Raw genomic sequence first — 19551 nt, 5'->3', positions numbered from 1 at the left:
AGTCTGGCAGAGGAAACAAGAAGTTCTGCTTTGGCCATGTTAAGTTTGAGATGCCTATTAGATATTCCAAGTGGAGATGTCAAATATGCAGTTGGATATATGAGTTCTGGGAAGAGGGCCAGCCTTGAGCTATAATTTGGAGAGTCATCAGCTTATAGGTGACATTTAAAGCAATGGGACTGGATGAGATCACCACTGAGGGCGGAGTACGTGTAGATGGAAGTAATGCTTATTCAGCTAGCAATATTCTCTGAGCGTTTACTATGGGCCAGGCCCGGAGCTAGGTGCTAGGTACAGAGATGGACTTCCTTTGGCACCTGCCCCAGAGAAGCTCTATTACTTACTTAATTTTCCTGCCTAAGTGCTTTGGCCATGTAGAGGATGAGCCTTGAGTTCCTACCCTGTCTTTTAGTCACTTAGTCCTTTTTTTCTCTTTTTTCTTTTTTTGAGACAGAGTTTCGTTCTTGTTGCCCAGGCTGGAGTGCAATGGCATGATCTTGGCTCACCACAACCTCCGCCTCCTGGGTTCAAGCAATCCTCCTGTCTCAGCCTCCTCAGTAGGTGGGATTACCGGCATGCACCACCACATCGGGCTAATTTTTTGTATTTTTAGTTGACATGGGGTTTCTCCATGTTGGTCAGGCTGGCCTTGAACTCCCGACCTCAGGTGATCCACCCGCCTCGGCCTCCCAAAGTGCTGGGATTACCTGCGTGAACCACCGCACCCTGCATCATTTTTTCAGCAGACATTTGTTGAGCACCTGCTTGATACAAGGCACCCATCTAGGCACAAGGGACATGAAAGGAAGCGAGTCAGACACAGTTCCTATCCTTTTGGAGTTTAGATTTTATGTGTGGAGACAGACATTGAACAGGATGCACACAGGATCACAGGATGTGACAAATGCAGTGGAGGAGAAAGATAGGCTGGTGTGAGAGCTGTTAATGGGGGCTCTGCTCTAGCCGGAGAGGCAAGGAAGGCTTTTCCAGGAGTCACATTAGAGGAACAATCTATACAAGCAGGGAACTAGGCTGGGGGAAGTGCAGGGAGCTTTTTAGGTGGAAAGAACAGCATGTTCAAAGGCCTGAAGCTGGAAGGAGGCTGGCTGACTTGGCTCCAGAGAAGCTGTTGGGGGAGTGTGGGAGAGACAAGACAGGGAGTAGGGGTGGGGAGAAGCCAGACCTTTGGAGTCTTGTAAGTCTGGTTAAGACACGTGGACTGTCTTCTGCGGCCACCAGTGGCTCTGTTGAGGTGGGAAATTAAAGAAAAGCAAAATTAAAAAGAAAGAGAAATAAGTTTTTCTGTATGAGGGTGACTTGTCCCAGAGGCAGCAATAGGCACAGGCCAGACCCAGGAAAATTCTTCATAATATTATCTAATGTGCTCTGGAGATTCTCCCAGTACTCCCTCAACATAGGGAGAAGAAAAACAAATTTTCCTTTGTTTTATGGAATGAGTTTATAGATTCCTATTCTCTGTAACCAGTGACTTCAAGTATTGTTTTATCTAAGCAGTGGAGTGAAGGTCATGAGCCTCTGAGCTGGCCTGAGTTACGGCCACCTGGGCGCCATAGTGAAGGTTATGGGATAAGTCTGTGCCTGGGCAAACCTAGATAACGGACATCTGGGTTGCTTGGCAACGGTCACGTGCAATCCTGAGTTTGTCCTGCCTCTATATCCCTGCTTTCATGCCACTGTAAGCTTGCTTCAAGCTAGCCCACCCCCTTTTGTGAAGTGTGTATAGAAGTCAAGTGCTGTCTTTCTTCCGGGCCCAGTCTTTTGGACGTTGAGTCAGCTGGGCCTGAGTGCACTCAATAAATGATTCTCCTGTTTTAGATTGAGACCATCCTGACTAACACGGTGAAACCCCGTCTCTACTAAAAATACAAAAACAAAATTAGCCGGGTGTGGTGGTGGGCGCCTGTAGTCCCAGCTACTCGGGAGGCTGAGGCAGGAGAATGGTGTGAACCCAGTAAATACTGCACATGTGTAATGAGCCGAGATCGCGCCACTGCACTCCAGCCTGGGCAACAGAGCAAGAGTCCGTCTCAAAAAAAAAAAAAAAAAAAAAAAAAAAAAAAAAAAAAAGGCCGGGCACGGTGGCTTACGCCTGTAATCCCAGCACTTTCAGAGGCTGAGGCGGGTGGATCACGAGGTCAGAGATCGAGACCATCCTGGCTAACACAGTGAAACCCTGTCTCTACTAAAAATACAAAAAATTAGCCGGGTGTGGTGGCGGGCGCCTGTAGTCCCAGCTACTAGGGAGGCTGAAGCAGGACAATGGTGTGAACCTGGGAGGCAGAGCTTGCAGTGAGCCGAGATGGCGCCATTGCACTCCAGCCTGGGCGACAGAGCGAGACTGCATCTCAAAAAAAAAAAAAAAAAAGATTCTCCTGTTTTAACCCGAGGTCTCTCTCTCATCCTCCTGAATCCCACAACACTGAAAGGTAGTGGGTAGGGATTCATATGATCAGAGGGCCACTGAAGTGGGCAGGTTAGTAGGGCAGCCAGGACACCAGTGAGGAGGTTATTGATTGTTGCCTCTTTGCTTCAGGCTCTTGGTTTCTCCATTTTAAACATCTGTTTGCACTCCAGGTGCAGTGTCTCATGCCTATAATCCTAGCGCTTTGGGAGGCTAAGGCAGGAGGATGCCTTACCCAGGAGATGGAGACCAGCCTGGGCAATATAGCAAGACCCCATCTCTACCAAAAATAAAAATAAAAAATTAGCTAGTATAGTGGGGTGTGCCGGTAGTTCCAGCTACTCAGGAGGCTACAGCGGGGAGGATTGCTTGAGCCCAAGAGTTCAAGGCTGCAGTGAGCTATGATTGCACCACTGCACTCCAGCCTGGGCAACAGAGCGAGACCCTGACTCAAAAACAAAAACAGAAACATCTGTTTGCAAAGCCCTGGTTCTCTCAGGGGACAGAGAGGGGAATGCAAAGAAGTTGTTTTTCTCTCTCGGTAAGAGCAGAACCCTTGGTACCCCCAAACTTATCATCTTAGGATCACAAAGCCAGAGCTTAAGGCTGTACATAATAATCTGTTTCTTCCAGGAGCCACTTCCCCCAAGAAACTCCAAAGGTATTATTTCATTAGCAGGGTGCCAGGTGGTTTTGGCCAGGGCCTCTGCAACTCTTTTCTCTGTGACCATTTTCCATTTCGGCTCATATAAATCAACCTTTACTACAAAGCTATAAAGTAAAATAATGTAATGAGTGCAGCCAACTGCAGCTGTTCTCAAACTCAATGTCACAGCCATTACACATGTGAAATATTTACAGGGGTTTTAATCAATTTTCTTTCCTGACACCCGTTTTTTATTAAAAATTACAAAAATAATAAATGCACATGGTAGTAGATACAGAAGAACACAAGGAATGAATTATAAATGTTAACTGTACAGAGATAACCATTGTCAATATTTTGTCTTAAATACATCCAGTCTACAGATAAGAACATATTCATATCATATAATACCTATCACACTGTATGTATCTTTTTTTTTTTTTTTTTTTTTTTAGACAGGGACTTACTCTGTCAAATAGGCTAGGGTGTAGTGGTGCGATCGTACCTCACTACAGCCTCAAACTCCCAGGCTCAAGGGATCCGACTGCCCCTCCCTCCCAAGTAGCTGGGATCACAGGTGCACACCACCACACCTGGCTAATTTTTTTGATTTTTAATAAAAATGAGGTATCACTATGTTGCCCAGGCTGGTCTCAAACTCCTGGGCTCAAGCAATCCTCCCACCTTGGCCTCCAAAAGTGCTGGTATTATAGGCATGAGCCACTGAACCTGGCCAATGTATCATTTTTGTTACCTGCTTTTCGTAATCCCAGCACTTTGGGAGGCCGAGGCAGGTGGATCACGAGGTCGGGAGTTCAAGACCAGCCTGGCCAAGATGTTAAAACCCTGTCTCTACTAAAAATACAAAAATTGGCTGGGTGTGGTGGTGGGCGCCTGTAATCTCAGCTACTTGGGAGGGTGAGGCAGAGAATTGCTTGAACCTAGGAGGTGGAGGTTGCAGTGAGCCGAGATCGTGCCACTGCACTCCAGCCTGGGCGACAGAGCAAGACTCCATCTCAAAAAAAAAAAAAAAAAAAAAAAGCCTTCTACAACATAACTATTTACTTATGTATTTTTAAAGATGGGGTCCCACTCTCACCCAGGCTGGAGTACAGTGGTGCAATCCTAGCTCACTGCAGCCTCAAACTCCTGGGCTCAAGCAGGCATCCTGCCTTCACCTCCCAAAGTGCTGGGATTACAAGCATGAGCTACTGCACCCAGCCCAATTTTAATAGCTTCTTTATAGCCCATGCGGCCAGGGGCGGTGGCTCACGCCTGTAATCCCAGCACTTTGGGAGGCCCAGGTGGTTGGATCACTTGCGGTCAGAAGTTCGAGACCAGCCTGGCCAATATGGTGAAACCCCATCTCTACTAAAAATATAAAAAATTAGCCAGGTGTAGTGTTGCGTGCCTGTAGGCTACTTAGGAGGCTGAGGCAGGAGAATCGCTTGAACCCAGGAAGCAAAGCGGAGGTTGCAGTGATCCGAGATTGCGCTATTGCACTCCAGCCTGGGTGTCACAGTGAGACTCCGTCTCAAAAAAAAAAAAAAAAGTCCATGCATAACTTCTTGAAACAATCACTTATCAGTGGACACTTAAGTTGCTTCCAGTTTTTCAGTATTGTAACAGTGCTTTGTTCTGATGAATATCTTTCAAAGATAAAAATAATCTTTTTAATTCTACTTTCAGAAGTAATAGGTACTCATTGTATAAAAGTGAAACACTGTAGAAATTTAGAATCTGAAAAAGAAAGTTCCTTTGTAAGATCTGTAATCTTACAACTCAAAGATAATGTTAAAATTTGATTTTTTCCCGGCATATAACAGGCTTTTTTCCTTTTTACCAAAATGGGATGATTCTGAGTTCCCTGTCACGATATATAAATCTACTTTATTCCTTTCATAAACTTCCATGCATTTCCACCACCTGTCCCCACCCACCCACCCACATCTGTATACACACATTCTGCCTCCCTTGCCGTTACCCTGTATGAACTGTTCATGCTCCTATCTAAGGCCATCTCCCTGGCACTGGGTCCATCTCCTCTCATTCCTGTGATTGTCTCTTCTCCCTCTCCTGCATCATCAGTTTCCCCTGTCTACTGGATTATTCCCACCAGCGTGCAAACATGCTGTCATATTCTTTTAAAAATGCTTCCCTTGCCTACACATTCTCCTGTAGCTACCATCCCATCTCGGCTTTCCTCCAAGAGTTGTCTGTACTCCCTGTCCCCGATTCCTCACCTCCCATTCTCTCTTTAATCCACTGCACCCACACAGCTCAAATGTGGTGGTCACCGGTGACCACCATGCTGCTAAACACAGTGGCCAATTCTCAGTGCCCTTCATGGCCATACATGTCACAGTTGCTCTCTTCCTCTGGGTCCTCCCTTGGCTTCCAGGACCACACACTCTCTTAGCTGTCCTCCCATCTCACTGGCTGCTCCACCTCAGGCTCCTCTGTTTGTTTCCCCTTTTCTCCATGACATCTGAAGGAAGAAGTGAACCAGGCCTTCTCTATTGGGCTACTTCTCTATTTAAACTCTCTCTTGGGAGTCTCCATTTTCATGGCTTTAAATTTCATGGCTCACAACTCTCAAATTTGTATTTTCACCCCAAACTTTGCCCCTGAATGCCCATCCCATATCTCTAAGTCCTATTTGAAATAGCTCTAGGATGTCTAACAGGCATCTGTCTCAAACCTAACACATCCACAACAGACCTATTCTACTCCCAAACCTGCCTGCTTATCCTGCAGGCTTCCTTATCACTGTAAATAGCCACTGCATTCTTCCAGGTGCTCAGGAGAGAGATCTAGAAGTTTTCCTTGACTTGTGTATATTCCTCACACCTCACATCTAATTTAAGCACATTAATGAGCTTAAATTCTTTAAGCTCAATCTTGAAAATATATCTCACCACCTTCGCTCTTCTTCTGACCTTTTTTTTTTTTTTTGATACAGAGCTTCTCTCTGTCATCCAGGCTAGAGTACAGTAGCACAATCTCAGCTCACTGCAGCCTCCACCTCCCAAGTTCAAGCAATTCTCCTGCCTCAGCCTCCCTTGTAGCTGGGGTTACAGGTGTGCACCACCACACCCAGATAATTTTTGTATTTTTAGTAGAGACGGGGTTTCACCACATTGGTCAGGCTGGTCTCAAACTCCTGACCTTGTGATCCACCCGCCTCAGACTCCCAAAGTGCTGGGATTACAGGTGTAAGCCACCGTGCCTGGCCTTTTTTTTTCTTTAAGAGATGAGGTCTTGCTCTGTTTTCCAGGCTGGATCCTGGGCTTGAGGGATCCTCCTGCGTCAGCCTCTCGAGTAGCTGGGACCACAGGCACGAGCCACCGATGCCTGGCTAAATTTTTACTTTTTTGTAGAGATGGAGGTCTCGCCATCTTGCCCAGGCTGGTCTCGAACTCATGGACTCAAGCAATCCTCCTGCCTCAGCCTCCCAAAGCCCATGTCTGGCCTGGGCTGTCTATTCTGTCTCACTGCTCTATGTGTTTATCTTTTTGCTGATACCACCCTACTTTGAATACTGTAACTTTATAGTGAGTCTTGAAGTTGGGTAATGTGAGTATGTGAGTCCTCTGACTATTTTTTTTTTCAGAATTGTTTTGGCTAATCTAGTACCTTTGCCTTTCTCTGTAAAAAAATTGTTTTGGCTAGGCCGGGCATGGTGGCTCACGCCTGTAATCCCAGCACTTTGGGAGGCCGAGGCAGGCGGATCACAAGGTCAGGAGATTGAAACCATCTTGGCTAACACTGTGAAACCCCATCTCCACTAAAAATACAAAAAATTAGCCGGGCACGGTGGCAGGCGCCTGTAGTCCCAGCTACCTGAGAGGCTGAGGCAGGAGAATGGCGTGAACCCGGGAGGTGGAGCTTGCAGCGAGCCGAGATGGCGCCACTGCACTACAGCCTGGGCGATAGAGCGCGACTCCATCTCAAAAAAAAAAAAAATTGTTTTGGCAAATCTAGTACCTTTGCCTTTCTATGTTGCCCGGGCTGGAGTGCATTGGCTACTCACAGGCATGATCATGGTGTATTATAGCCTCAAACTCCTGGCCTCCAGCGATCTTCCTGTCTCAGCTCCCAAGTAGCTCCCAAGTGTGCAACTGAGACTACAGGTGCAAAACACAGTGCCCTGGCTTCTCTGTAAATTTTAGAATCAGTTTGTAGACAGTGTCTGGGAGGAAAAACTTTTTATCTACCCTCAGGTTTAGTCTTTGGGGACCTGTGAATTAAACAGACGAAAGATATATTAACAAGAGAAGGCCAAGCGTGGTGGCTTACACCCATAATCCCAACACTCTGGGAGGCTGAGGCGGGAGGATCACTTGAGTCCAGGAGGTCGAGGCTGCCGTGGGCTAGCATCATGCCACTGCACTGCCCCATGGGCAACAGAGCGAGACCCCTGTCTCTAAAACAAACAAAAAGAAGACAAAATTTAATCATTTATTTTATTAACATACATATGGGAGTTCACCAGAAAGACTATCCACATTACTAGAGATGGAAACTTTCAGCTCCTTCCCCCAACCTCCAGGGAGGGGAGTGGGGCTAGAGACTGGGCTCCAAACACTCTTGAACAGGAGGTTCCGAAAGTCTGGAATGATGAACGCATTGATGTGCTGGGAGGGTGGTGCACCTGGAGAGGACATGGAAGCTCTGTTCCCACCTCCTCCTGCTGTGCCCCGCCCCATGCCTTGCCCTATGCATCGCTTCCATTTGGTTGATCCTAGTTGTATCCTTTATAATAAACTGGAAAATGTAAATAAGGTGCTGTCCTGAGTTCTGTGAGTCACTCTAGTAAATTATTGAACCTGAAGGGGGTGAGTGGGAACCTCTGAATTTGTAGTAGGCCCAACAAAAATGTGGGTAGCTGGGGCACCTCATTTGTGCAGGCATCTAAAGTGGGGGCGGTCTTGTGGGACTCAGTCCTTAACTTTTGTTCAGGGTCTGTGCTAACTCTGGGTAGTTAGTGTCAGAACTGAATAGAATTTTCAGAGGTCCAGTTGATCTCAGATAATTGAACAATTGATGTGGAAAAATGACACGTATCTGGTGCCAGAGATAAAGACCGCACCACACATTTGGTGTCAGAAATAGTGTCAAAGATAAGACATCACAGGAAGTCACTGGTATTAGCACAGTGTTATACATACAGACTTCAATAAATATAAGAATCATAAACTACAAATAGGAAAAAAGAAATTAAGAAATATGTGAGCCGGGCATGGTGGCTCACGCCTGTAATCCCAGCACTTTGGGAGGCCAAGGTGGGCAGATCACGAGGTCAGGAGATCGAGACCATCCTGGCGAACATGGTGAAACCCCATGTCTACTAAAAATGCAAAAAATTAGCTGGGCATGGTGGCGGGCGCCTGTAGTCCCAGCTACTCGGGAGGCTGAGGCAGGAGAATGACGTGAACCCGGGAGGCGGAGCTTGCAGTGAGCCAAGATGGAGCCACGACTCCAGCCTGGGCAACAGAGCGAGACTCCGTCTCAAAAAAAAAAAAAAAGAAAAATGCTTTGAGGTGGAACAAAAGGCATAATGGGAGACAACAAGGCCTTTCAGAGGTATAAACTCAAAGGAAAGTTCTAGATTGGGTCACACAGGCCTGGGCCCCTTACTAAGTCAAGGACCTGAAGGCTGAGGAGGCCTTGGCCAGGCAAAGACTCGGGAGGCAGAGGTAGAGGGAGCAAAACAGTGTCCAGGGAGAGGAGCCAGCCCATGCAAAGACCTGGAGGAAGGAAAGGGACACAGGCTTCCAGACAGCAGATCCCAGAGAAGCTGCCAGGAGTAGCAGGAGTGGAGGAGAAGCTGCTTCAGGCACATCCTGAAGGCCAAGGTGAGGGTGTGGAGATGGTGTTGTCTCTAGGGAGGCAGACACTTTGTCCCCTCTGCTGTGTCCCTAGCATCTAGCACAGTACACACTGTAGATGTCAGTATCTTGGAGATCTTTTCATATCCACACATATGAATGTGGTATTTTTAATGTTTGCATAGTATTCAGAACTAGAACTGTACATTTCCTGCTTAACCAGCCCCCTCTGGATGCAGATTGAGGTCCCCTCTAATTTTGGGGGAACCATAGGTTTTAATAAACATCCTCACATTTTGAATTCCGCTCCCCCTGAGCCCCATCTTCCTCACACAAGGAGGGATGATTGGATTTTTGCTTTGTCCCCTTCTGCTGTCCTTCTGTCTTCCAAACAAGCATCCTTTTGCTATTCACAGCTCTCCTTTGGACACTGTGAGACCATACTCCCCTCAAGGCCCCTTCCCCCAGACTGATCATGCCACCCCTTTACAATCATCCTATTCAGGGATATACAATAAACATTTGTATGGTAAAGGCAACTCATACTGATTGCCAGTGAACATCTGAAATACTTAGGACTGACATGTGTAATCTAACCCAGCCAGGCTCTGATTTACATTAGGGCATCTCACTGTAAGTAGCTTGTGGCACTAGTGCAAGGAAGAACAGCCCTCACCTCCACCCCATGCTCTAACTGTGCTGAACTATTTAGCTTCCCGAAAGCCCCAAGCTTGCCTCTGTCCTCCCAGCTTTCTTTGCAGTGCTTTCTTTCTGTCTGGAATGCTTTTCTTCTCCTCTCATTTACCTGCCTAGCACCATCTGGTTCTTCAGGTCTCAGTTTAGAAGAGCCACTCCCTCCAGGAAGTCTTCCCTGAACACTCCCCTCCAGCCTGGGTTAAGAGCTGCAGGAGTGCCCTGAATTTCTTGTAGCACATATCTCATTTTGTTATAATTGCCTTTTTAAATTTTATTATTATTATTATTATTATTATTTTTTTTTTTTTTTTTTTTTGGAGACGGAGTTTCACTCTTGATGCCCAGGCTGGATGGTGTGATCTCAGCTGACCACAACCTCCGCCTCCCGGGTTCAAGTGATTCCTCTGCCTCAGCCTCCTGAGTAGCTGGGATTACAGGCATGTGCCACCATGCCCGTCTAATTTTTTGTATTTTTAGTAGAGACGGGGTTTCTCCATGTTGGTCTCGAACTCCTGACCTCAGATGATCTGCCCGCCTCAGCCTCCCAAAGTGCTGGGATTACAGGCGTGAGCCACCGCGCCTGGCCTATTACTATTATTTTTTACACGGAGACTTGCTCTGTCACCCAGGTTGCTGTGCAGTGGTGTGTTCTCGACTCGCTGCAACCTCTGCTTCCCGGGTTCAAGCGATTCTCCTGCCTCAGCCTCCCGAGTAGCTGGGATTACAGGCACCTGCCACCATGCCCAGCTAATTTTTGTATTTTTAATAGAGACAGTTTCACAGCCTGGTGCGGTGGCTCACGCCTGTAATCCCAGCACTTTGGGAGGCCGAGGCAGGTGGATCACCTGAGGTCAGGAGTTCAAGACCAGCCTGGCCAACATGGCAAAACCCTGTCTTTACTAAAAATACAAAAATTAGCTGGGCGTGGTGGCGGGCGCCTGTAATCCCATCTACTCGGGAGGCTGGGACAGGAGAATTGCTTGAACCCAGGAGGTGGAGGTTGCAGTGAGCAAGATTGTGCCATTGCACTCCAGCCTGGGTGACAGATTGAGACTCCATCTCATAAAAAAGAAAAGAAAACAGACGTGGTTTCACCATGTTGGCCAGGCTGGTCTCGAACTCCTGACCTCAAGTGATCTGCCCGCCTCAGCCTCCCTAAGTGCTAGGATTACAGGCATGAGCCACTGTGCCCAGCCTGTAATTGCCTTTTTATTTTTTAGGCCAGGCATGGTGGCTTAATGTCTGTAATACTAGCACTTTGGGAGGCTGAGGCAGGAGGATCACTTGAGCTCAGGAGTTTGAGACCAGCCTAGGTAATATAGTGAGACCCTGTCTCTATTTAAAAAAAAAAAAAATTGGGGCCAGGCATGGTGGCTCATGCCTGTAATCCCAGCACTTTGGGAGGTCGAGGCGGGCGGATCACCTGCGGTAGGGAGTTCAAGACCAGCCTGACCAACATGGAGAAACCTCGTCTCTACTAAAAATACAAAATTAGCTGGGCGTGGTGGCGCATGCCTGTAATCCCAGCTACTCAGGAAGCCGAGGCAGGAGAATCACTTGAACCTGGGGGTGGAGGTTGCAGTGAGCAAAGATTGTGCCATTGCACTCTAGCCTGGGCAACAAGAGTGAAACTCCTTCTCAAAAAAAAAAACAACAACAAAAAAAAAAACTTTTGGCCGGGTGCAGTGGCTCAAGCCTGTAATCCCAGCACTTTGGGAGGCCGACATGGGTGGATCACCTGAGGCTAAGAGTTTGAAACCAGCCTGGCCAACATGGCTTAACCCTGTCCCTACTAAAAATACAAAAAAAAATTAGCCAGGCATGGTGGCGTATGCCTGTAATCTCAGCTACTGAGGCAGGAGAATCACTTGAACCCAGGAGGCGGAGGCTGCAGTGAGCTGACATCGCACCATTGCACTCCAGCCTGGGCAACAAGAGCGAAACTCTGTCTCAGAAAAAAAAATATATATATATTTTTACTTTATTTTTCAGAGACGGGGTCTTGCTCTGTCACCCAGGCTGGAGTACAGTGGCGAGACCCTAGTTCAAAGCAGCCTCCAACTCCTGGCCTCAAGCCATCCTCCCGCTTCTACCTCCAGAGTAGCTGGGACTACAGGTGCACACCATCACACCCAGCTTTTTTTATTTATTTATTTATTTTTATTTATTTATTTTTTTTGTAGAGACGGGATCTACTAGGTTTCCTAGGCTGGTCTGGAACTCCTGGGCTCAAGCGAGTTCCCAGAGTGCTGGGATTACAGGCATGAGCCACCACGCCTGACTGTAATTGCCTTTTTAGTTGTCTGTGAATGGTGTGAGGGCAGGGTTGAGTCTTACTGTTGTATCCCGAGCACCAGTGCCCAGCACAGAGCCAGGCTCAATGTTCTATGGCTCGATAAATGTGGGTTGAATACATGAACAAATGTTGAGCAGACAAGGAGTGAAGCCACCACCAAAGTCCCAGATGCCATGTACATAACCCTGGGCTCTTAAAGCTGGGGTCCAAGCATAGCACTAGATAAAAAAAACCTGCTCTTGGCTGGGCGTGGTAACTCACACCTGTAATCCCAGGATTTTGGGAAGCCAAGACAGGTGGATCACTTGAGGTCAGGAGTTCGAGACCAGCCTGGCCAACATGGTGAAACCCAATCTCTACTAAAAATACAAAATTATCCAAGTGTGGTGGCAGGTGCCTGTAATCCCAGTTACTTGGGAAGTTGAGGCAGGAGAATCGCTTGAACCTAGGAGGCAGAGGTTGCAGTGAGCCAAGATCGTGCCACTGCACTCCAGCCTGGGCAACAGAGCGAGACTCCGTCTCAAAAAAAAAAACAAAAAAAACAAAACAAAAAACAAAGTCCGGGCGCGGTGGCTCATGCCTGTAATCCCAGCACTTTGGGAGGCCAAGGCGGGCGGACCACCTGAGGTTGGGAGTTCGAGACCAGCCTGACCAACATGGAGAAATCCCATCTCTACTAAAAAATACAGAATTAGCCAGGTGTGGTGGTGCATGCCTGTAATCCCAGCTACTCAGGAGGCTGAGGCAGGAAAATCGCTTGAACCTGGGAGGCGGAGGTTGCAGTGAGCCGAGATCGCACCACTGCACTCCAGCCTGGGTGACAAGAGCGAAACTCTGTCTCAAAAAACAAACAAAAAAACCCCCCAAACATCCGCTGTCCTTCTAGCACCTTCAAGGAGTGTGTCACAACAAGACAGACTGGCAGCCCATGAGAAGGATGGAATTACAAAAGAAACTGGTCCCCAGCTGCCTAGCAAGGAATGTCTGTCAATGTGACATTCACAGAAGCCCTGCACATGTGCTGGCTGAGGGGGAGAGCCAGCCTCAGGCAGACAGAAGGAAGTTCAGCCACTGGGCATGTGTTAGCATGGGGGATGTGTAGCCTAGAAGCTTCCTGGCTTTCAGTTATTATTATTTTTTTTTAACTTAAAAAAAAAAAACTCCAGATAATTCCCATACTTGTTTTTTACCTTTAAGGAATGTATTTGCCTTGGAGGTGCCATTACTGAATTATATTGACGCAGTTCATTAAAAATCTGCTTAGTATAAAACTGACTTGGGTCTAAAAAAATTAGGATTCTACTAAATAAATGCATCCTTTTTTGTTGCATTGAAAAACATTCTTAGTACTGTTATTAATCTTTTCACACCCCCCTACCCTTTGCTTGTGTTTCTGATTTACTCTGCTGTGAAGAAAGTTTTCAAGGTTTGTTACAGTGGAAAATGTTTTGGAAAAAGTTCTGGGTTGAGGGTAAGGAATTTAGAGCTTAGGAAATGAAATTTGGTGAACCTGATGAGCTCATTTGCCATTTTGTACCTCAGTTCCACTTTTCTGGAGCTAGAATAACTGTTCTTTATATACTAGTTAATAAAATCAACAGGTGTTTACTAAGCACTTACTATGTGCCAGTACCATAGGGCTGTAAAGGGAAGTGATTGGTCTCAGTGTTTCTTGGCCTTTTTTGGGGGAATGGGGGAGTACAGCTTATAGACCTTTGAGAATGATAAATTCCTACGCTGTCCTGTATGGTAGCCACTAGCCACATTTGGCTATTACAATTAAAGTTAATTATTGTTAAATATAATTTAAGAAGTTGGTTTCTCAGTTGCAGTAGCCACATTTTAAGTGCTCAATAGCTACATGTAACCAATGGCTACCACATAGAACTCAAATATAGAATGTTTTCATCATCCTAGAAAGTTCTGTGGGACAGTGCTACATGGAGATTCTCCCCAGAATAAAAACACTTTTCTGCCCACATACAATATTTTGCATACAACTGTTACAACTTTGCAGGATCAGGGTCAGGAGGTGGAGGTTGAGGGGGCAGGGAGGCAGGAGTTCACTGATCCCAGAAGCCCATTAATCCAAGAAAAGGAAGCCCTGATATAAAAAGCTGTTTGAAGACTCCATCACAGAATTTAACAAGTTAGTAAAAATAAAGCAACCGAGCTGCTACAAATACAGTATGTTCACTTGAAGTAACTTCATATAAAATCAAGCCCTTGTGTTCCCACCTGTTTGGGCATATTCAAAGAAAACACCAGTTCATTATCTAAAAGTTATTGAAAAATAATGTTAAAGATTTTTTGCAGTCTCTGAAAAAAACACCAGAGGGGAATTATATTCACAATATACTGCAAATCTTGAATTATCTTTCCCATTTTTCTCTTCTCATCCTCCCACACTTGACACTTGCTTTCCTAAAGCTCACCCCCAATTCCAAACTCTCTTCCAAACCTCCTAGTTCTGCTGCTGTTTCTCTTCTTCCTCCCCTGCATGGCTCAGTTCTTTATTATGTAGCTTTCCAGAATATGTTTTATTTTACTCCATCACACAAGTACAGTGGTAGAGAATGACAGAGAAAGCTCCCAGGGTGCTGTGACCAGGAACACGTTTCCCAGTGACTCATTCCATAGCTCTCCTGCCAGGCGGGACCAGTTCCTCATCTTCTCAGATGGTCTACTCCCCCATCACTTCCTCTCTGCCCACTGATACCTAGGGCCAAGGTCTGGGAGGAGCTCATGACTGAGCCTGACAGAGAGGAAAATATTTTGCTGGGATGCCAGAGGGGACTGATGTCACAGAGAAAAGGAGAAAACCAGATGGGCAGGTTTGCAGCATGTTTTATGCCTGGCGTTGTTGGTTTTTTGTTTGTTTTAAATTTTTATTTCAATAGGTTTTTGGGGAACAGGTGGTGTTTGGTTATATGGATAAGTTCTTTAAGTTATTTAGTGGTGATTTCTGAGATTTTCATGCACTCATCACCCGAGCTGTTGTTGGTTTTGGGATTTTTTTTTTTTTTTATGTTGTTTTTTTCAGTTGGGCACTGCCCTACACTCTGGTGGAGAATAAATGGCTTGCTGTGGGAACTGCATTAATTCTTAATAGTCTGCCAACATCAAAGGCTTCTTTTCAGTTTGGTGAAAAGAAGGACAAGCCCATTTCTGTAACAGGATCTCACTCTGTCGCCCAGGCTGGAGTGCAGCGGTGCAATATTGGCTCACTGCAACCTCTGCCTCCTGGGCTTAAGTGATTCTCCCCCCTCAGCCTCCCAAGTAGCTGGGACTATGGGTGTGTGCCACCATGCCCAGCTAATTTTTGTATTTTTTGTAGAGACGGGGTTTTAACATGTTGCCCAGGCTGGTGGTGCCTCAGCTCCTTCTCTCTTCTTCCCTGCTTGAACTCCTTGCCCCAGTCACACCAGTAGGGATTTTCCCTGGTCTGCTACTCTCTCTCCTATTTGGGTGATTTCTCATGGTGTCCTTTTTTATGTTTTGAGACAGAGTCTCACTCTGTTGCCCAGGCTGGAGTGCAGTGGTGCAATCATGGCTAACTACAGCTTCAACCTCCCAGGCTCAAGCAGTCCTCCCACCTCAGCCTCTTAAGTAGCTGGGACTGTCAGGTGCCGTGGCTAATGCCTGTAATCCCAGCACTTTGGGAGGCCGAGATGGGCGGATCACTTGAGCTCAAGAGTTCGAGATCAAGTAGCTGAGACCACAGGTGCACGTTACCATGCCTAGATAATTTTTTAATTTTTTTTTTTTTTTTTTTTTGAGACAGAGTCTCGGTGTTGACCAGGCTGGAGTTCAGTGGCGCAATCTCGGCTCACTGCAACCTCTGCCTCCCGGGTTCAAGCAATTCTCCTGCCTCAGCCTCCAAAGTAGCTGGGATTACAGGTGTGCGCCACCACCTCCGACTAATTTTTGTGTTTTTAGTAAAGATGAGGTTTTGCCATGTTGACCAGGCTGGTCTCGAACTCCTGACTTCAAGTGATCCACCCACCTTGACCTCCCCAAAGTGCTGGGATTACAGGCATGAGCCACTGGGCCTGGCAATTTTTAAGTTTTTTGTAGAGATAGGGGTCTCACTACATTGCCTAGCCTGGTCTCAAACTCCTGGACTCAAGCCATCCTCCTGCCTCAGCCTCCCAAAGTGCTGGGATTACTGCCACTGCACTCAGCAGTCATGCCCTCATTTTTGTCTGAAATGCCCTTCCCTCTTCCCCCTGGTTAACTCCTACTGGTTCTTCAAGACTCTAAACATCTCCTCCCAGAAGCCTTCCTTAGAATCTCTAAGACTGTGGTAGGTGACCCTCCGATGTAGTCTCAAGCAGCTTATCCTTATCACAACTGTACTCTACATGACCGAATAGCAACCTATATACACAACTCAAGGACAGAGCTGTATTATTGCATGCCCTGGGCCTCATACAGGACCTAAATCATAAATAATGTTGAATATCTAGATGAACAAAAAGTTTAAAAGGTGTCCCTGCCTAGAGTCTCTGGCCTTAGCAGAGAATGGAACCTATGAACCCTTTGAACATGAAGTCATAATTGTGGTCTCATTTGTGTTCTAACTGCAAAGGTCAGTACAGGAATAAAGGGGGTTTCATGGATGATCATAAATGCCTCCTAAGGATTTAGCTGTGCTCTATCTAATCCAAGAAGCCTGTACTAACCACATCCCTACATTTTCTGCTGGGTAACTGAACTCCTTTGGAGATTGTATGCTGCAGGACATTGCACAATTAAAGCTGAATTATTATTATTTGCAAGCAGTTTTCCACCTACAGTCCTATTGAGTCACTTAGCTGACTCTATTTCTCTCTCCCTAGGAGACTGCCCAATTGTCTCCAACAGCACTTTTTTTTCCTTTTTTGTCTTTCCAGGCAACAATCACATAGGAGTGGTAGGACTCAGAGAATGGTATTAATACACCTAAGCACACCACCCAAAATGAGAAGGCATCTGGACTTTCGGATGCCTATAGGATATGTAAGCTCCTATAAGGCTGCACACTTAGACTCGAGATCATATTTGGCCAGGGCTCTTTCCTGCTTGTCTAGAGAACAGCTAGATGCTTTACATAATCCAGAATACAACAGATAGTTATAATGGTTTTATTTTAGGAATCATTTATTATGTTTTATTCCAATTATAAAAGTAGTGCATGCTAATTACAATTTGAGAAATACAGAAAAGCATAAATAAAAACATAGAAATCACTGCCATCAAGAGATATCTCCACAACCACAACATTTGGAAAGCTTTTTCTATTTTTTTTTTGTTACAAGCAGCAAATACACTATATATGTGTATACATTAAACACCACTTTCAATTCACTTTAACTGTAAATTACTGTGACTTTAATATCTCTGTCATATTAAAAACATGACTTAATAATTGTGTAACATTCAAAGTTAATGTGTTGAGCCACTCCCTTATTATCAAGTTTAATTTTTTTAATTGCACAGAATGCAATGATAAATATACACATGTAATTTATTATGAGAATCTCTTGCTTATTTCCGTCTGATAAAAATCCTACAAGCAGCTGGGCGCGGTGGCTCACGCCTGTATTCCCAGCACTTTGGGAGGCTGAGGCAGGCGGATCACGAGGTCAGGAGATTGAGATCATCCTGGCTAACACGGTGAAACCCTGTCTCTACTAAAAATATAAAAAAATCAGCCGGGCGTGGTGGCAGGCACCTGTAGTCCCAGCTACTCAGGAGGCTGAGGCGGGAGAATGGCATGAACCTGGGAGGCGGAGCTTGCAGTGAGCCGAGATCACGCCACTGCACTGCAGCCTGGGTGACAGTGTAAGACTCCGTCTCAAAACAAACAAACAAAAAATCCTACAAGCAGAATTACAAGATCGAAGGGTATATGTATATTATGAAAGCCTGATGTATACTATCAACTTGTATTCCAAAAAAGATATACACTCAGTAGTATATGTGGGTGTCTAGTCTTTGGTTTGTTTTGATTTTAAAATGCTCAGATGGTATAATGAGAAATCAACTACCTTCTGATTAAATGTGTGGTTTTAGTCCCTTTTTTTGTTTGTTTTTGTTTTGTCTTGTTTTTGAGACAGAGTCTCCCTCTGTCACCCAGGCTGGAGGAGTGCAGTGGCACAATCTCGGCTCACTGCAACCTCTGCCTCCCAGATTCAAGCGATTCTCGTGCCTCATCCTCCCAAGCAGCTGGGACTACAGGCGTGCCACCAAGCTTGGCTAATTTTTTTTTTTTTTTGTATTTTTAGTAGGGGGGCGGGTCTTGCCATGTTGGCCAGGCTGGTCTTGAACTCCTGGCCTCAAGTGATCCACCCACCTCAGCCTCCTAAAGTGCTGGGATTACAGGCATGAGCCACCACGCCCAGCCAGGTTTCATTTTTAATATGAAAAATCTTTATTTATTTTTGAGACAGTCTCACTCTGTCACCCAGGCTGAAGTGCAGTGGCATGATCTCGGCTCACTGCAACCTTCGCCTCCCGGGCTCAAGCAATTCTCCTGCCTCAGCCTCCCGCGTAACTGGGATTATAGGAACACGCCACCACGCCCAGCTAATTTTTGTATTTTTAGTAGAAACGGGGTTTCCCCATGTTGCCCAGGCTAGTCTCGAACTACTGACCTCAAGTGATCCTCCCGCCTTGGCCTCTCAAAGTGTTGGGATTACAGGCGTGAGCCACCGCACCCAGCCTGAACAATCTTTAGGTTAGGAGTATTCCAGCCGGGCGCCGGGCTCAAGCCGGTAATCCAACACTTTGGGAGGCCAAGGCTGGAGGATCGGTTGAGCCCAGGAGTTCGAGACCAGCCTCTCTACAAAAAAAATAGAAAATAAACTAGCTGGACGCAGCGCAGACCCCTCACGGCGCCCCGAGGTGGGAGGATCACCTGAGTCCAGCGAGATCGAGACTGCAGTGAGCCGTGTTCGCGCCATTGCACTCCAGCCTGAGCAACAGAATAAGACCCTGTATCAAAAACAAACAAAAAGTCTTCTGGTGCAAGGCCTCACTGTAAGGTCCCTGGGTTCAATGCTCCGCGTTCTGGGATGTGAATGTGGAAAAGTAAGTGCCAAGGTGGGTGTCTACCTGAGCTCCATAAGGACTCAGTACTTAGGATGGGAGCATGGCTCTGGGTTCCATTCCTGACCCCTCTGTGGCCTCAGACTCTGCCCGGGAGAGGATGAAAAGCACAAGTCGGATGCACTCTATAGTGATCGCTGTGATACTCATTAAGAGTCTTACTCCCTCGACTCCGACAAACTCAAGGCCAAGCTATGGAGTCCATCTCATGCTGACACCGTCAGTTCTGAGCAACTGTAAAATGGGGACAGGGTGGCCCGGGGGCCTACTGACCTGAGGTGGGGGCCGCGACAGCCCGGCCGCTGCGGGGTCAGCCTGCGGTCTCCGCCTGACTCCAGCTCTCCTGCGCCCCGCAGGCCCTGGGCGCTACCCACGTCAGTGAGTGCTCACAAGTCTGTGAGGTAGGCGGCGCCACAGAGAGAAACTGAGGCGCGGGAGCCCAAGCCACTTGTCCAGCGCCTCAGCCGAGCGCGAACCGCGCTCGGGGATGGCATCCACACGGCCCGGCCCCAGGCTCTCCCTGTCAGCGCCCGAAGGCCCTTCGCACCTCCAGGGGGCGCCGGCCTGC

At 46.7% G+C, this 19551-nt stretch overlaps 1 protein-coding gene across 1 annotated transcript in view; it reads right to left on the bottom strand.

Moving 5' to 3' along the window:
• DYNLL1 (dynein light chain LC8-type 1) overlaps window positions 1-19519 on the bottom strand; it is a 28652-nt gene extending 9133 nt beyond the window's left edge. Inside the window, exon 1 of the mRNA NM_001037494.2 lies at window positions 19257-19519. The gene's annotated coding sequence lies outside the window, so the exon portion shown is untranslated. The remainder of the gene's footprint in view (window positions 1-19256) is intronic.
• Between the last annotated feature and the right edge of the window lie 32 nt (window positions 19520-19551).

This window comes from Homo sapiens, chromosome 12 (assembly GCF_000001405.40).
Source record: "Homo sapiens chromosome 12, GRCh38.p14 Primary Assembly".
Lineage (NCBI taxonomy): Eukaryota > Metazoa > Chordata > Mammalia > Primates > Hominidae > Homo > Homo sapiens.
The sequence above is the reverse complement of the archived record's forward strand: the minus strand, read 5'-3'. Positions and strand labels throughout refer to the sequence as shown.